Source organism: Homo sapiens, chromosome 17, assembly GCF_000001405.40.
Source record: "Homo sapiens chromosome 17, GRCh38.p14 Primary Assembly".
Taxonomy (NCBI): domain Eukaryota; kingdom Metazoa; phylum Chordata; class Mammalia; order Primates; family Hominidae; genus Homo; species Homo sapiens.
In genome coordinates this window covers 29,016,264-29,034,283 of record NC_000017.11, presented here as the reverse complement: position 1 = coordinate 29,034,283, position 18,020 = coordinate 29,016,264, and the positions used below count along the sequence as shown (strand labels likewise).

At 48.1% G+C, this 18,020-nt stretch overlaps 1 long non-coding RNA gene and 1 pseudogene across 1 annotated transcript in view, besides 3 other annotated features; one reads left to right on the top strand and one right to left on the bottom strand.

Annotated features, from left to right (window-relative positions):
- Nucleotides 1,105-1,939: an enhancer, noted in NCBI's record as "OCT4-NANOG-H3K27ac hESC enhancer chr17:27359363-27360197 (GRCh37/hg19 assembly coordinates)". NCBI's record gives its function as "activates a minimal SCP1, AML or CMV promoter by ChIP-STARR-seq in primed H9 embryonic stem cells {active_cell/tissue: H9 hESC(primed)}" and the evidence as "EXISTENCE:reporter gene assay evidence [ECO:0000049][PMID:30033119]".
- NDUFS5P7 (NADH:ubiquinone oxidoreductase subunit S5 pseudogene 7) lies at nt 12,590-13,083 on the top strand (annotated as a pseudogene).
- Nucleotides 13,693-14,332: an enhancer, noted in NCBI's record as "H3K27ac-H3K4me1 hESC enhancer chr17:27346970-27347609 (GRCh37/hg19 assembly coordinates)". NCBI's record gives its function as "activates a minimal SCP1, AML or CMV promoter by ChIP-STARR-seq in primed H9 embryonic stem cells {active_cell/tissue: H9 hESC(primed)}" and the evidence as "EXISTENCE:reporter gene assay evidence [ECO:0000049][PMID:30033119]".
- Nucleotides 14,333-14,973: an enhancer, noted in NCBI's record as "NANOG-H3K27ac-H3K4me1 hESC enhancer chr17:27346329-27346969 (GRCh37/hg19 assembly coordinates)". NCBI's record gives its function as "activates a minimal SCP1, AML or CMV promoter by ChIP-STARR-seq in primed H9 embryonic stem cells {active_cell/tissue: H9 hESC(primed)}" and the evidence as "EXISTENCE:reporter gene assay evidence [ECO:0000049][PMID:30033119]".
- Nucleotides 17,772-18,020, bottom strand: part of LOC105371716 (uncharacterized) — a 64,911-nt gene continuing 64,662 nt past the window's right edge. The window contains exon 5 of the long non-coding RNA XR_001752822.2: nt 17,772-17,937. This is a non-coding gene — a long non-coding RNA (uncharacterized LOC105371716). The remainder of the gene's footprint in view (nt 17,938-18,020) is intronic.

Sequence of the window (18,020 nt, the reverse complement as noted above, 5' to 3'; positions counted from 1 at the left end):
TTTCTGCCAGGCATCAGCGGCACAACCATCTAAACCCAGTTGCCAGCCTGAGGTTCCCTGGAGTACCCAGGCAATGTGAATGGGGCTAGCTTACTTTGGTTTACCCTTACCCTGATGGTGTAGCCCTTTGGGGGTCTCAGCATATTGAGGGGAGAATCTTCTACTACAGTCTCCACAATGAGCAGGCACTGGGCTTGGATTTCCAACCCCCTTACTCTACCAGACCATCAAAATGAAAGTTCAGATTTGCAAGAATTGACAGATGCTCTTTAACGGAAAAGTGATTTCTATGCATCCTCTAGTTTTCTCTTCCATGTTGGCCTGTTAATTCCTTACTATTTTATTAACTCTTCAAGGCTTTTAAGATGTTGTTGATATTTTATCTAGCATTTTTCATTCTTTTTACTGGGATAATCGGTCCAAATAACTCAGCCTGTCATTGCCAAGCTTCTGAACTTGGTTGCAATCAGAGTACTAGCTCCTAGAATATCTAAGCTCTGCAGTATCTTCTGCATGTGTACTGGTCTCTCATTTCCTTCATGCCTTCCTCCCCAGATGCCTAGGGTGAAAAAAGACAGTGGCAATTGTCAACAAGGATGACCACCTACCTCCTAGGGAGCAAGAGTGAGAATCTCTTGATAGCCACTCTTAGAGCTAGATTTAGGCGTGGACCAGCCAGGCTTTGTCTGAGGGGCCAATATACATGGAACCCTAAAGCGTCATCATGAATTGGAATACCTTAGAAGAGCATCTTGCTGTCTAGAATGTTTTTTAGGGAATCACTATATTTGTTTTAAAGAAGGAATATTTTGATAAGGTGCAGGTGCAGGCTGTGACCTCCCAAGGTTAATTGCTTTCCACTAAGAGTGGGTCCTGCTTACAGCTTTTGTTTCAATGAATGGGCAGCAATTGCCCACCAGCACTGAATTGCTCAGATCCACAGACAGGCATGGTCCTCTGTTCATCCTTCCTTTTTGTGGTGCCTAACCTCTATAAATAAAGTGTTGAACAAATATTTATAGAAAATAAATTTTCTGTCTATGAGGATAGTAAGAAACTGGCAACACTAGTTGCCTCTGGGGAGTGAAGCTGGGTGGAATCTTGCTACGTATAGGAAATGACTTAGGAGAAAATACTGTACAGATCATTGCAGTCCTGATGCGAGTCAGGGAAGGGCTCTAGGCATTGCCAGCATCCTGTCTGCCCCTTGGCTCCCAACCACAGCCTGGGTAGGAGTGAAATCCACAGAAACGCCAGAAAGCAGGTGAAGGGTTGTGTGCAGCATCTGGAAAATTTAGAGAATGTAAAGGAAGTGGGATTGCTGGGCCCATGCTGGGTCTCATCTCACTAAGCAAGGTTCTCATACAGAACCTTGAAAGGACCCCTGCAGAGCTCTCAGCAGCGCGGTATTATATTAACCAACTGCGACCCACTTCCCACCTCATCCTTGGCAGCCCCCTTTTCCAAGTGGAATCTTAGCTTTATTCTTTCTCTCACTTTCTCTCTCTCAGTCTCTCACCTCTCAGGCTTGCCCACATTTATTTTCTTGCTGTTTAGAAGGACAGAGGAAGAAAGGTTTAGAGAAGACATTGGGACGATTCCAGTTGTGTTTGGAACAGACCACCAGGGATCCTAGCCCAGAATTTTTAAAGGGATAGAGAAAGAGGAGGTTCCTGGAATAGTCCGGGGAAGGTCTGCCCAGAGCCCGTTCAAAGCTCTCCAGATGCCCTGGGGTGCTGGATAACTCTGCTCCTCACCATTGCTCCTTCATAACCACCCGCCAGGTTGCCTAAGCTTGTCGCAGGTTTCAGGGCACTCACTCACAGACATCTCATTTGATCTTCACAGCAGCCTCGTGAAGTGGACAGGCAGGCATTTTTACTCCCATTTTGCAGATGAGGCAACTGATCACTAAAAAGCAACAGAGTCAGCATTCCCACCCCTCACCCCAAACCTTTCTCCAAATCAAGAGTGAGGCAGATGTTCGCACTCCTCAGCACCCTGGGTCTTGGGTCCTGCTAAGTTCTTTTGTGAAGATAGGGAAAGAATGTGGCTCATTCCACGTTGCAAATAACATTCCCCACCCCCACCCATGCCTGCAAAGAAAGAGAAGGAGCCCCCAGTGAGAAGAAATTCTAAAGCAGCCCCTAGGGACCTCTGGAGAAGCTGTTTGATTTTTTCCAGTCCCTACTGGTACTCTGTGCCACATTTATAAACGTCAGCGCTGAAAATGAAGTTCCCACTGCCCTGGCAGCTGCCGGTTGCTGCTGTTGCTCACCAAAGGTTCAGATAAAGTGTCCCCCTCCCCTTGATTGATAGGGAGCCGAAAATAAAAGAAAAATAAAAGCCCCCTGGAGCATTGATGGAAGGGAGGAGGCAGCTTCTTAAGAAGAGAAAGGGTGTGATCCAGAAAGGGCTGGTACCAGTGGAAGGCGGGAAAGTGAGACCGACAGAGTGAGACCCCACCTCAAAAGAAAAAAAGAAAAGGAAAGGGGAAAAGAAGAGAATAAATACTTCTGCTTATGCAGAAAGGTGGCGAAATTCATATTTCATTTCAGGGGCTCTGCCACAAGAAGAGGGAAGGAAAGGAGCTTGGTGAGGAAGTCTTTGTGACCTCTGGGCTTCTATGCTCCTGAGCAGGATCTGCTATCTTCTGGAGTCTGGGACAGAGATGAGGCTGGCAGAGACTTAGAACAAAGGAGGTCGGGCATGACGGCTCATTCCTGTAATCCTAGCACTTTGGGAGGCTGAGGTGGGTGGATCACTTGAGGTCAGGAGTTTGAAACCAGCCTGGCCAACATGGTGAAACCCTGTTTCTACTAAAAATACAAAAAAATTAGCGAGGCATGGTGGTGAGCGCCTGTAATCCCAGCTACTCGGGAGGCTGAAGCAGGAGAATTGCTTGAACCCAGAGGGTGGAGGTTTCAGCGAGCCAAGATCGTGACATTGCCTTCCAGCCTGGGCAACAGAGTGAGACTCTGTCTCAAAAAAAAAAAAAAGAAAGAAAGAAAGAGAAAAAAACAGGCCAAGTGCGGTGGCTCACACCTGTAATCCCAACACTTTAGGGGGAGGCCGAGATGGGCGGATCACCTGAGGTCAGGAGTTCAAGACCAGCCTGGCCAACATGGTGAAACCCCGTCTCTACTAAAAATACAAAAATTAGCCAGGCATGGTGGCAGGCACCTGTAATCCCACCTAGTCGGGAGGCTAACACAGGAGAATCACTTGAACCCGGGAGGCCGTGGTTGAGGCAGGAGAATTGCTTGAACCTGGGATGCAGAGGTTGCAGTGAGCTGAGATGGCACCATTGCACTCCAGCCTAGGCGACAAGAGCAAAACTATGTCTAAAAAAAAAAAAGAAAACGGGTCCTAGAGGAGACTGGAAAGAAATGAAACGTAAAAGGATCCCAATGGACCATGCAGATACAAAGTAATATCATCATAAACCGAACCAATGAACCAGTGGTTGAGACTGGGGAGACCCTGCTGGGAGCAGCTTGCAGCACTCCAGGTAGCCACGTGCACACTTTTCCAATAATGGCTTCCCTTGCACCTCCCCTACATCTGCGATGCTCTCGGATCTTTGAGAAGTGCTGATTGAGACCAACTCATGCAGCCCTGGCTGAGCACCCAAGGGATGCAGCGGTTAACCAGGGGTGGCCTAAGTGGTTTCAAAGCAACAAGTCATTGAAAAGTTGTTTTTAACTTGATTATTGTACCTTTATTTTAAAACATACCAGACCACATATTTCCAAATGACTATGGTTCTCTTCAAAGTCTCCCCCGTATGAAGTTGAGTAGTTAATCCAGTGGTACTCAATGTGTGGCCCAAGTCATCCTGGAGCTGATGTGTGAAATACCTTCAGGCCAATTTATAACCCAGGCAATAAAATGTCTTGCTGCTTTATAGGGGTTTCCTTGCTCTCCTTTAACTTGATTTATCAGACCTGTTTCCCCGTAACTTTTGGCCCTTACCAAATGCCAAATGCTCTGCCAAGCTGCTTTCTTGGAGAGGTTTGGAGCAGCCCTGGGAGGACAGGATTGTTCGGGGATGGGATGGAGGTATAATTATTAGCAAAAGAGAAATGAGAGAACCATTGTATTAATGGGAATCTGGTGGGTTTTCTCTGCTTTTCACTTTCCTTATGTGAAAATGTTTCTGTTTTTGGCCGGGCACGGTGGGTCACGCCTGTAATCCCAGCACTTTGGGAGGCCGAGGCGGGCGGATCACAAGGTCAGGAGATTGAGACCATCCTGGCTAACACGGTGAAACCCCGTCTGTACTAAAAATACAAAAATTAGCCAGGCGTGGTGGCGTGTGCCTGTAGTCCCAGCTGCTGAGGAGGCTGAGACAGGAGAATGGCGTGAACCCGGGAGGCGGAGCTTGCGCTGAGCTGAGATCGCGCCACTGCACTCCAGCCTGGGCGACAGAGCGAGACCCCGTCTCAAAAAAAAGAAAAGAAAATGTTTCTGTTTTGAAAAACGATGAAATAAACAAAATGTGACATATTCATACAATGAAATATTATTTGGCCTTAAAAAAAAAATGGTGACCCAGCCTAGGCAACACGGCAAAATCTCATCTCTACAAAAAATGAAAAAATTAGCGGGTGTGGTAGCCTGTAGTCCCAGCTACTCGGGAGGCTGAGGTAGGAGGATCGCTTGAGCCCAGGAGGTCGAGGCTGCAGTGAGCTGTGATCACACCACTGCACTCCAGCCTGGGTGACAGAACGAGATCCTGTGTCAAAAAAAAAAGAAAGAAAGAAAGAAAGAAAGATAGAGAAGAAAAGAAGAAGAAAGAAATGGCATTCTGACACATACTACAACACAGGTGAACCTGGAGGATATTATGTTAAGTGAAACAGGGCACACACAAAACGAGAAATATTATGATTCTCCTTATATGAGGTACCTAAAATAGACATAGACAAATTCATAGACAAAAAGTAGACATTGGTTACCAAGGGCTGGCAATAGAGGGAATGGGAGTTAGTGTATAATGGGGAGAGATCTCCATTTTGGGAAGATGAAAAAGTTCTGGAGATGGATGGCAGTGATGGCTGTGTGAATGTGCTCAATGCCACTGAACTGTACCCTTAAAATGGTTAAATTGCAAATTGTAAATGTTATGTGTATTATACACAGTAAAAAAAAAAAAGTCTACCTAACAAAATAAAATCTACTCAAAAGGTAAAGATTTGGCTGGGGATAGTGGCTCATGCCTGCAATCCCAGCACTTTGGGAGGCCATGGCCCAGTAGTTCAAGACCAGCCTGGGCAACACGGTGAAACTCTGTCTCTACAAAAAAATAGAAAAATTAGCTGGGTGTGTTGGTGCACACCTGTAGCTACTTGGGAGGCTGAGGCAGGAGGATCACTTGAGCCAGGGTGGTTAAGGCTGCAGTGAGCCAAGATCCCACCACTGCACTCCAGCCTGGGTGACAGAATGAGAGACCCTATCTCAAAACAAAAGGGAGATAAATATTTTATATCACTGATGTTATTCATAAAAATTTGCTATGGGACAGAGTGGGCCAAAGTCCAAAGAAAAAGACCCAAAATATTCCTTCCTCAGGAACAAAAATTAGCCAGGATCAGCTGGGTTAAATACAGGTGTCTGTCACTCCTGCTCTAAAATAGCTCTGGGAAGGGACCCCTCCTTCAGTTCTTCTCCCATAATATCTTGAACCTATCTGTGCCCTGGAACATTCCACAGCACAGCCTGGGTTTCCCTGACCCGGGACCCGCTGGGGCTGGCCCACTCCCCTGGCAGTGTGAACAAGGCTCTGGCGAGTCATGGTTCTGCTGGCCAGGAGGCTGCTGAGGTGGCTTTTTAATCCTCCAGCCATGCCGTCCTAGTGATTGCTTTTATTAGGAAATGTAATGAAAAAGACTATATGAAGCCCCTGCCAGAAAAAAAAAAAAAAATCTAATAAGATTTTGCACCAAGTGTGGCGAGAAAAGAAAGGGGGGAAAAAGCACATTAGGAGTCAGATAATGAGATAAATGAAAGACCGCAGGGAAGATCATTTTTGCAGACTTGCTGGATGGTTGTAAAATTTTTAATTTGCTGAATTCTCTTTTTTCGTTGTCTCTGACTCTTCTCAACTCTTGTCTTTTACTGTCTTTCTGATGGCTGAACGCTTTCTCTCTTTGCCTCTCCCCTTTTCCTTGATTTTTCTGCCTGTTTCAGCTCTTGCCTTGGATATGTGTGTGTGTGTGTGTGTGTGTGTGTGTGTGTGTGTGTGTCTCCTTTCCCCATCCATGGCCAAATCCTGCCTCATGACTTGGGTAGGAGGCTGAGATCTGGACAGCGAGGACCCACCTAGTTAAGGGAAAAAGAGGACAAAGAACTGCCTCTCCCAGCCTTTGCCTTCTAGGGAGTGGCTATGATTCAGCTAAAGAAAGAAAAAGAGGAATAAATCAAGGGAAGGAGGGGGAAAATGGACTATGGAGGGAGGACAGGAGATCAAAGACCAAGGAAGTAAGGAGGAAGAGAAAGCCCCCGCTGCTTCCGCAAATCAATTCCTGGCAATGCCTGCCTCTTCGTCTGTGCTCTAAGCTCCTGAGCAGAATGCCACCTCTGTGGGATGCCAGGCCTGAACAGAAGGGCTCTGGGGCACTGGGCAGGCATGCAGGCCAGGCTGCAGGGACCCCAGGCCTGCCTTGCCCTGAAGAGAGAGGTCTCCCTTCCCCAGGACCACCCTCTCACCATCCACACTTGAAGTCCTCTCCAAAATCTAGTTTCACCGCTTGCTTTGGCAGACTCCTTCCTCCTGTTCCAAACTTGGGAATTCTGAGGTGTCTCTTGGCTGCTGCGCATAAGTCCCAGTTCACAGCTGCAACTTGGGGGACTGAGGGTGGACACAATGAGCAGCTTCCCCACAGGGAGTCAGCAGAGGAAGGAGGCTGGGAAACTGAAGTATAGGAATGAGTGACTTAGGATGGAGACGCACTGCTAGTTATTAGGAACATCCCTCTCACTCCTCGGTCCCTTGTTCCTTCCCCAGTGGGGACTATCCACTCTGTTTCCCTCCCAGAGATGTCATCTCTCTTGGTGCTCTCCCACATGCGAAAGTGTGCTGCTGGTTACTGAGGGAATGGGCGTTTCCTGTACTGGCCATTACAGGAGATAAAAGAGCCACCCAAATCAGTGAAGTCCATGGGAATGAGAGGACCTACTAGAAACCACACACTCTGTACCCTTTGATCAACAGTTCCTCTCTCTCCAACCCCCTCCCTGAGCCTGTGGTGACCATCATTTTTTTTTTTTGAGTTTCGCTCTTGTCACCCAGGCTGGAGTACAGCGGTGCAATCTTGGCTCACTGCAACGTCAGCCTCTTGGGTTCAAGTGATTCTCCTGTCTCCGCCTCCCAAGTAGCTGGGATTACAGGTGCCTACCACCATGCCCGGCTAATTTTTTGTATTTTTTAGTAGAGATGGGGCTTCTCCATGTTGGTCAGGCTGGTCTCAAACTCCTGACCTCAGGTGATCCGCCCGCCTCAGCCTCCCAGAGTGCTGGGATTACAGGCATGAGCCACCGCGCCCAGCCACCATTATTCCACTCTCTACTTCCATGACTTTAACTTTTTTGGATTTCACATATAAGTGAGATCATGTGATGGATTTGTTAATTAGCCTGACTTAATCATTCCACATTGTAAACATATATTGAAACATCAGGCCGGGCACAGTGGCTCATGTCTGTAACCCCAAAACTTTGGGAGGCTGAGAAGAGAGGACCGCTTGAGGCCAGGAGTTTGAGACCAGTCTGAGCAACAAAGCAAGACCCCCATCTCTACAAAAAATAAAACAAAATAAAATTAGCCAGGCACGGTGCGGCATGCCTGTGGTCCCAGCTACTCAGGAGGCTAAGGCGGGAGGACTGCTAGGAGTTCGAGACTGCTGGGAACTATAATCGCACCACTGCACTCCAGCCTGGGTGACAGTGGGACCCTGTCTCTAAAATAAAAATAAAATAAAAGTATCACAATGTACCCCATAAATATATATACAATTATTATTTGTCAATTAAAAATAAAATTTTAATCTGGGCACAGTGGCACATGCATATAGTCCCAACTTCTCAGGGGCTGAGGTGGGAAGATCACTTGATCCCAGGAGTTCAAATCTAGCCTAAGCAATGCAGCAAGACCCCATCTCTTAAAAAGCAAACAAACCAACCAATACTTTTTTTTTTTAATTTAGAAAAAAGAAGAACTCAGGCAAAAGACCTGGTGGAATCTGATATGCATCAACGGTACTCTGGGGGGTCTCAGGGAAGCTTCCACGAATGAGGGTTATGTGGCGGGGTCTGATGGTGGCGCCCCAAGCCAGGCTGGGCAGGGGAGGAAGAGGGCTAGGAAATAAGGTGGACTGGAACAGAGATGGTCGTCCCAAGAGGGGAGATGAAATAGGTTCAAGGCCAGCTGGGAGGGGTGGCTGCTACCAGACTGTGGAATAGAAATAGGCTGGGAATAAGAGCTCATACACACGTAGACCAGCTCATTGAAGTGGGAAAAATACAAATGAGCTAATACACACAGTGCATCCTATGCTCCAGGAATTGCTCTGAGAACCGGAGTATATTTACTTATTTAATCTCACCACAATCCTATGGAGTCGGTACTATTGTTAACACCTCCATTTTACACACGAGGAAAGTGAGGCTTGGTGAGAGGATTCAGAACACAGCCGCCTTCCTCCAGAGTCTGTGCTCGTAACCACCCTCCTCCAGAATAGGAGCCTAGGTAGGCAAAGTCATGAAGACTCAGGGAGGGGGAGAATGGCACTGCACTTAAGAACGTGAACTTCTGGACCCGGTAGCCTGACTCTTACCCTCGGTCTGACCTTGGATAGGATCCTTAGCACTAAGGTCGGCCTGCAGAGAGACACGAAGAGTGACTGGAAGCATGTTGGTAAAAACACAGGCACAGTGCTGTCCCTGAGCTCAGTCAGGGGAAGTTTTTTTTTTGTTTTTTTTGAGATGGAGTCTCCCTCTGTTGCCCAGGCTAGAGTGCAGTGGCATGATCTCGGCTCACTGCAAGCTCCACTTCTTGGGTTCACGCCATTCTCCTGCCTCAGCCTCCCAAGTAGCTGGGACTACAGGCGCCTGCCACCACGCCTGGCTAATTTTTTGTATTTTGTTTAGTAGAGATGGGGTTTCACCGTGTTAGCCAGGATGGTCTCGATCTCCTGACCTCGTGATCCGCACCTCTCAGCCTCCCAAAGTGCTGGGATTACAGGCATGAGCCACCGCACCCGGCCAGGGGGCCAGTTTTTAACACTGTTACTCTCTGCTTCCCATGAGATGAAGGAAGCATCTTTGGTGCTTGGCAACTGGCAAGGCTCAAGGCTCAATTTCCCACCTCTGATTTCCCACCAGAAACACAGGAGATGGACCCTCCAAGGGACTGACTTCTTAGGGGCACACAGTCCTGCAAACAGGTCCCAGCACACATAGCACAGCCCCTCTCCCCAGAGCCAACCACCCCTTGCTGTGTCCTGATGACCCCCCAGTGTTCCCAAGCCCCAGGAACACCCCCTAGTCCTGTGGCTCACTGCATTGTTCCAGGAGGTGTGTGTCACCCTTCTCTTTCCTTGCCTCCTTCCCTCCCCCAGGCCCTGCTTTTCTCTTCATGGAGAAGGCACAAATTAGGCAGAAAGGAAAACGTTGACAGTTCCCAGCCCTCCCTTGCTGGGGATAAAGAGAAATACGTTAACGGTTGAAGCTTTAGGCGGATCAAACACAGTTTGTGAGATGCTTCAAATGTATTATTCATCTCACCAATGAGATGCAATCTTGGGCTTTCTCTTTTCGCCCCATCAAGAGGAAACCTCAGCTACTGTGAAGATGCCAGGCTCCAGAGGGGAGGGGGTGCTTTCAGAATACCATCTTTTCAATTAAATCAACAAGTCCGTCTTGTGTCTGCCCAGTTTCTTCTGAAGCTTTCCAAATGAAATGGGTCAATTTGCCAGAGAATCTAAGAGTACAAAGGCTGTGGGTGACAACCACAAGTATTAGGCAGTGACAAGCACCTGGAAGCAAAGAGGAGACATGGAATCAAATCTGAGACACTTAGAGAAGGCAGGAGTTGGAGCCAGTCCTAGAAGGTCCTCCATGTCTGCATGCTCTTGAGGCCATGTAACTCTCATGGGCTAGAAGAACTCCAAGAGGAACCATCTCAGCTGTGCCTTTAGCTCTGCGGTGCCACTGCAGAAGGTGGCGCTTAGGTCCCTGGTGAGGATCCAAGTCCAGCCTTGGGTTGTTGCTGTACAACTTTTGGCCTTGTGATTTGGACTGGTGGAGGCCCCTGCCCCACCTGCCTGGGGATTCTACACCCATTCATTGCTCCTCCTCCTTTTCCCTTTGGCCACTGAGGTCCCTCTGGGCTGCTGCCAGCATCCTAGGGTTCTTCACCCCAAGAAGAAGCTTCCCCAGCCTCCCATGAGTTTGCCTCACTGTCTCACAGACCTTACACGTGTGCTGTGTTGAATAAATCTGATGTGGGAGTAGGGGGCAGGCTCTGCCCGTGGAACAGGAGATTGGGACAGCCCAGAGGGAAGGAAATTTGACGTGATGGATCAAAAAGCCATAAAGTATATACCACCTTTGACCCAGCAGTTCCATTTCTTAAAGCACCCCCAAGGAAATACTAGATAAGTGTGCAAAGATATATTGGGTTTGCCATTACTTTCAATGGCAAGAACAGCAATTACTTTTGCTCCAACCTACAAAAAGATACAAAAATGTCCATCTCAGGTTTGTCTATAATAGGAAGACTTGCAAACATCCTAAAACCACAATAATAAAGGATTGATTAAATAGTAGCCTTCTGATCTAGTCATTTAAAATCAGATTCCAGAGGAATAACAGGAGGAAGTACTGTATCAATATATTTTCATTCTAAAAAATTTCCCTTCAATCCTTACCCAATCTCATTATTCTTCCCCAAGGTACTCATTGTTATCAGTTTAGTTTGTATCCTCTCCGATCTGTATTTTTGAAGAATCACATTTAATGTAAACAAGTAATAAAACCAGGTTATGCAAGTTTATGACTATAGATGCATGTATCTTTGCAAAGAGAAAAGGCTGGCTGAAATGTGAACACCAAAAATGTGAACAATGTTCAATGTTCAACTCCAAATAGTGGATTGCATATGATTTTTTACTTTCTTCTGCAGGAATTACTGTATTTTCTATGTGAACGGAAAAGAGAAACAATGCTATTTTTGCAAACAGTGAAACAGAAGCAATTGCTGGCACTGGCTGCCTCTGAGCAGTGGGAAAGCCTGTTCACCATATACTCTTTTATGCCTTTTGAATTTTGCACTTTGGGCACGTATCACCTATTCCAAAAATGAATTAAATTTTTAAAAATTTAATATGGCAATAAAATGAAATGAGGGGGGTGGTGAAGACCTCCAAAGGACAGCAAGCCCTGACTGAGAATCTGTGAAATTCCTCAAGCTGTACAGTTTCTGAATCAGCTCAGGATTCACTCCAATAGTGCTGGTCTCTTTCTTTCTCACCAGACAAGGAATTAGGGCCTATAACCTAGAAGAAATGAGGTAGGGTCTAACATAAACCAGGCTGCCAGGCAGGAATAACTTTATAATAATATACAGCATAGCAACAGTAATGGCTCAGTTGAACCTGTTTTCATACTTTTTTGAAGAACTTTTCATCTCCCTTTGGTTCTCCACATTTTCCTTGAGGCTACCCACTGCTGTCAGGTTCCTGGGGAGGAAAGGATGGGACCCAAGACCTTGTCTAAAGGGCCACTGTTTGAAGTCTGCCAGCAAGACCCACATTTCCCGGGGCTGGGTGTTGGTCTCAGACAACAACTCTCTCTCCTTCCCAGGGCCCATTTCACCCGTCAACACCCAGCTTCTGTCACCTGTCTCTGAGTCTCAGGTTCCTCACTTGTAAAATGAGGGTAATCAGCCTGATTATGAGATGTGGTTGCCAGTCAACAGACTGTATGGCAAGGGTGCCACCTGCTAGAACAGAAGGTCCCCAGGGCTGGAGTTGCTTGCAAGCACCCACCCTGGGGGAAGAATCTAGACAGCAAGTCCGAGACCTGGTATAGCCGTTATTTATAAGCTGATGACAGATATTTTCAATCCGCTGTGTTGTGAGAATTAAATAAGACATGTGCGTCTGTGTTTGAGGATGCAGGCCATCCATCCAGCCTAGAAAACGCTGCATGAAGGATGAATTCTCTCCAGCCCCACCAATCCCATCTTCCTATGCCTCTACTACTCGGACATCTCCTTGTATTGTCATTGTGCAACTTGTTTCATGAACAGTGTCCCCAGACTAATTCCTCAACAACACAATTTGGGTCCTAATCATTTTAATACATCACGTAGTAGATCCCCAGAAACTGTTTGCTGAATGAATAAGTGGATGCTATTTATAAGGCCATGATCCTTGTAAATTCTCACTAGGCTGCCTCTTGTTCCTGCCCCTGAAGCTGCTGAAGACCTGCGTTCCCGGTCTGAATTCACTCTAAACTGGACCCAGAGGAGGTGGGAGCAGAGAAATTCAGGGAGCAGCACAGTGTGGTGAAAAGTAGACTAGGGGTCATCCTGAAGCGGCGGCCAGAGAAGACACAAAGACATGAGCATCGGATCACCATGCCTTTCTTGGCCATCCAGAAAAGATTCGGCCTTAACATAGATCAATGGTGGACAATCCAGAGTGCTGAACAGCCCTACAAGATTGCTGCTCGATGCCATGCTTTTGAAAAAGAATGGATAGAATGTGCATATGGAATCAGTGTTATCCGGGCAGAGAAAGAGTGCAAGATAGAATCTGATGATTTCGTAGAGTGTTTGCTTCGGCAGAAAACGATGAGACGTGCAGGTACCATCAGGAAGCAGCAGGATAAGCTGATAAAGGAAGGGAAGTACACCCCTCCACCTCACCACATTGGCAAGGAGGAGCCTCAGCCCTGAGCAGAGCAGCTGCTGATGTCTGGAGGCTGAATTTCCTGTTCTCTGTTCCTCACTGGAAAGATTGTTTATGGAAAACCTCCTTGTCAAAGTGTATAAAAATAAAGGATTGCTCCATCCTAAAAAAAAAACAAAAAGAAGAAGAAGAAGAAAAAAAAAAAGGAAAAGAAAAGTAGAGTGGGGCTGTCGTCCTGGCCATCAGAGACTTAACCTCTCTGGGCTCAGTGTCTTCATCTATATATGGTCATTAGTAGAGCAGATCGGGGTTGAAAACTCAAATGCCCACAGAGGCCAGGAAAATAATGTAGACAAGGCAACAAAGGGGGAAGGTGGCACCCTCCCTTTGTTGGAGAGCAGGCATGCTCCTTGCACAGCGCTGCCCTTCTTGCCCGCTGATCATCGCCAATTGATGCAAGACTGTGGGTCAAGTCTTGTGGCAAGATTGTCTGATCTTTCAAGGGAAGCCAGCAAAGTGGATTTTTATGTGAAGTCTCTTGAATAGGTCAAACTCAAGTCCATAGGCCATTTACCACCTGGAGGCCACTGGTTTGCAGTCTCAGCACCAGCGGACCACCTGGCTTCCTTCCAGCTCTTCAATTCTGTGCGTTCAGGAGAGGAGAACATTCTTGTAAGTAACTGTTTAAAGGGAAGGACTCAAAGTCTGGACCTCATTCTGGCCGCTGGGCCTCCGGTAACTGCCAGCCTGACCCCTAAACTGCAGCTTTATGCAAGGCATGCCCCCCGTCTGCCAGCCCCCACCCCCCTGCCCCACCAACACACGCACATCAGGGGGCAGAAATGGGGGGTGAGGAGGAGACAATGATCCTTTGTCCTGGGGTGGGCCAGGGTTCAGCCCCTCCTGTTCTGCCCCTAGGAGTGCCCGCCCTGCCTAGAGAGCTAGGCCTAGGGGCAAACTGCCCACTCTTAGGCTACCCTGCACAGGGGTGCCTACCGGTGATACAGTCTCACCTAATAAATTCCTGTCAGAAAAGCTGTCAGGGCCTGGGAAATAAATAATGATATTTAACATTTTGTAATAACAACAATTAACCAGTAAATAATGTCCTTTAAACTGCAAACGCTAGAGTAAATTAATTCTTCTAATGAGCTGTCAGGCACGGAAGAAAAAAGTCCCCGTGTTCTTTGCTGCCACGCGGCTGCCGTGTGAGCAGCCGAGGAAGCTCACCTCGGGCCCTGGGAGCTCATTACAGGGAAGCACGCGGCGCGGGGTTCCAGGGAAATCAGCCCGGCCTAGCCTGCACCCACGTGGGCACTCGGCCGCCGCCCGCACCCGGAGCCCCACGGCCCCGCCCTCATTGTGCACGGCGCGCCCCTCCAGGTGCCGATCGCAAATGGGCAGCGCGGAGGGCATTTCAATTAGAGACCTCCCCCTCTCCCTTCTGGTCACCTGGGCGGCGCTCAGCCTCGAGGTGGCGGGGGACAGGAGCTGGGAACTGAGGCGGGAGGAGGGGGAGAAACTCTGCGCGTCCCTAGTCCTTGCTGCGTGACCTTGGAGAGGTTTCTTGCCTCTCTGGGCAGGGACGTTGTAAATGGAAATGTGAAGCTAATCAAACCAGATGTGATTATTTCTGAGCTCCTGAGAAGTCCGTGACCATAAAAAGACACCTAAGAGTGAGGCAGCTCTTTATGTACTGATTCGGAGTAATCTCCAAGATATATTGTCAGGTGACAAAAGCGAGGCACAGAAGAGCTTGCAGGGGATGCTACATCTTGTGTATTAAAAGCAGGACTCAAGAAAGAGTATGTGTCCGTGTTTGCTCTTATAGGTCTAGACAGGAAGCAGGTAACATTGCTTGCCTCTGGGGAGGGGAAGCTGGAGACGGGGGCTGGAGGGAGAGTTCAGTGAACAACCTTTTATACCCTTATTATTTGAACCATGTACAGGTATTACCTATTCAAAAAATAAACGTTACGAAAAACAAAGCCATACACATCAGGGGTCAGCTTGTCTCTCAGTAGCTTTCAGGAAGTGGAAGCCACAGGGGCCCAGCTGCACTGAAGCCCCATGTGAAATCCCTCCAAAGAGAGAGAGCACACTGCCTCTCTAATAACCTATTCTAGAGACAAGCTAATGAGTCAGGAAGTCCTTCCCAGTAGCTAATCCCATTCCCTCCTGCTACAATTTAAGTTTCTCTCTTCATGTTCTGTGTTTGGTGGGTGAAAGGGCTGATAGATAATTCTCTGCAGAGAGCTGGGGGTAGAGGACAGCCACTGTATGGACAGGAGAGAATGAACGGCAGTCCCAGCCCTCTGGAGCCCACAGGCCTAGGTTTGAATTCACTTCTGTCACTTGCTCACTGTATGGTGTTGTATGTCACTCTCCCCACTGCGCTTCCACTTCCTGTGGTCCCTGCCTCCCTCGGGAGGATATTAAGTGCTGGACCTGGTGAACAGGCATCTACTTCCCATGGAAGCCCACAGGTCCATTGCTGCCCAAGATGGACAGAGACCCCCTGCACAATCCTGGGTCATCTGCCCACCCCTTCCCAGATCTATGGCTCTCCCAGCTGCGACGCCCAACCCCACCTCCCACCCGGAGCAGCCAGATACAGCCTCCCTATGGCCAGACGCAGCTTTGCCCATTTGGCACCTAAATTGTCATGCCCTGAATCCAGAACAGGTTCAAGGTAGCTGGTGGCTCAGAGATAGTGTTGGAGCCAGAAATCACCAGAGGTGATCACTTCTGAGCTCCTGAGAAGCCCGTGACCTAAGACACCTAAGAGTGAGGCAGCCCTTTATGTGCTGGCCCAGGGCTTGAGGAAAGCACTTGAGCGGCTGCTTTGGGGCTGAGGGTGAGAGAGGGGTTCAAGCCAGGAGAACTCCCAGCCCCCTATCACCATCTGACCAACTCCCCCTTTATCTATTTTGTATCCTTGCCATCTTCATAAAGTGTCTTTTGATTAAAGAGTTTCTTAGCTGGCCAGGCGCGGTAGCTCACGCCTGTAATCCCAGCACTTTGGGAGGCTGAGGCAGGCAGATCACAAGGTCAGGAGTTCAAGACCAGCCTGGCCAGCATAGTGAAACTCCATCTCTACTAAAAATACAAAAATGAGCCGGGCGTGGTGGCACACGCCTGTAGTCCCAGCTACTCGGGAGGCTAAGGCAGGAGAATCGCTTGACTTTGGGAGGTGGAGGTTGCAGTGAGATCACGCCACTACACTCCAACTTGGGCAACAGAGCGAGACTCCATCTCAAAAAAACAAAAGAGTTTCTTGGCTAAAACATATTTGAAATGCCCTGACCTCGGCCATTCAGAACTGGGCACCTAAGGCATGGGGTTTCAGAAAGAGCAGGGACAAGAGGGGGAAAGAACCCAATGCCTACTAAGGACCCACTTTATGCCAGGCACTTCCCATGCAATTTTCCCTCTTAATCCGCACAACCTGTGGTTTGAGTAATATTATCCCCACGGTATGGACAGGATGAGGGAAGTTCCAAGGGGTTAATAGACTTGCCCAGGTGTATTCAACAAATAAGTTGTAGTTGGGCTAGAATTTGGACCCAGATCTGCTGACTTCAAAGCCACATCTCCTAACACACTGCTGCCTGTCCCAGCCCCTCACCTCACCATCTAGATCTATTAATGTGATGGGGTGCAAGTGGGGTGGGACAGAGCTGGGGTGTGGGAAGGAGGCCAGCTCAGCCTCTTGACCCTCTCTTTCCTCAACATCCTCTACTCAGTACCTGAAGCATTGAGATGAAAATTCAAGGAACAATTGCTGATTGTAAGAATTCATGAGAAAGGCTCCCCTTCCCTGGGAGCCTAGAGGAAATGCACTGGCTTCTCCTCTCAGAATCTGCTTCCTCCTCTCTAAAGTAGGAATTACTTAACCAGGTAATATCTAGCCAGGGGGAGAGTATGGGCACCTCTGATGTCATCTTTAGGAGACTGTGGTGGCTGAAGCTTAGGCACAGAAGTCTAATACACATGAGTTCAAATCCACGCTCTACCACTTACAAGCTGTGTGACTCAGGACAAGTTACTTAACCTCTTTGAGCTTTGTTTTCCTTCCCTGCAAAATGTGGATCATTGCCACTGATCTCTTTGGGCTGTTACAAAGGTTAAGAAGATGACGTGTATAAACTGCTTAGCATGGTGCCTGGGCATTAAGTAGGCACCCAATACATGACTACATCTGTCCTGATGAGTTTTTTGTTGCCCTGCCAGACAAACTCAATCTCCCAGACCAAAAAGGCAGTTGTCCTGGTGCCTGAGATAGGCAGCCTACCTCTGCAGCTTCCTGATTTGGGAGGCAGCCCAGAGAGGCCTCCAGGCTTGGTTTTTTGCAAAGGGCAGCGGAAAATCGAAGCTGAAGCCAGCAAAACAAGGATCCCAGCAGTGGATCTGAGTCAGCTGCTTCTGGGTCTGGGGGTTCAAGAGTCTTCCTCAAAGTAACATAGCTTCCTGGTTACCCTGTCCTCCCTGTAGCTGCCCCCTTGGCCTGAGTCCTCTGAGGGCCCTGGGCACCTGTGTGCACAGAGCATCAGCTGGGAAAGAGGGGTGCTCCAGTGAGTAGAGGAAGCTGGGTCTCAGCCACGCGGAAATTAAAACCAGCTTGCCCAGCACTGAGTTACCATGTCGCCTGAAATCAGATTGATTTATTGGGCTTGTTGTGACGGCAGTGTTGCAATTGATTCGTCTGGATGGCGGGGAGTTTATCTATTCAGAGCTGTCTGTCACTGATCTGAATAAGCTGCTAAAACAGCCCAAATACCTGGCGAGGGCGAGGTCACCACCAACCTCGGCTCAATGTTAATTATAATAATGAACAGGCATGAGGAGGGTTGGTTCATTGCTCGCCCAGCAGGGCTGGCCTCTATGAGGTTTGGTGTTTAATATTCATTTCATGTCAACAATGTGCAAAGAGCGAGTAGACTCTCCTAAGCTGAGAGAAGTTTGCAAGGGCAATGATGTTGATCTGTGCTTCCATGGGACTAAGAAGGAGCCAGTGCTGCTGAAACAGAAAAGGTTTAGGTTAGACCTTAAGAAGAACTTCCTAATGACCAACAGTGGATGGACATAGAATATCTAATTCAC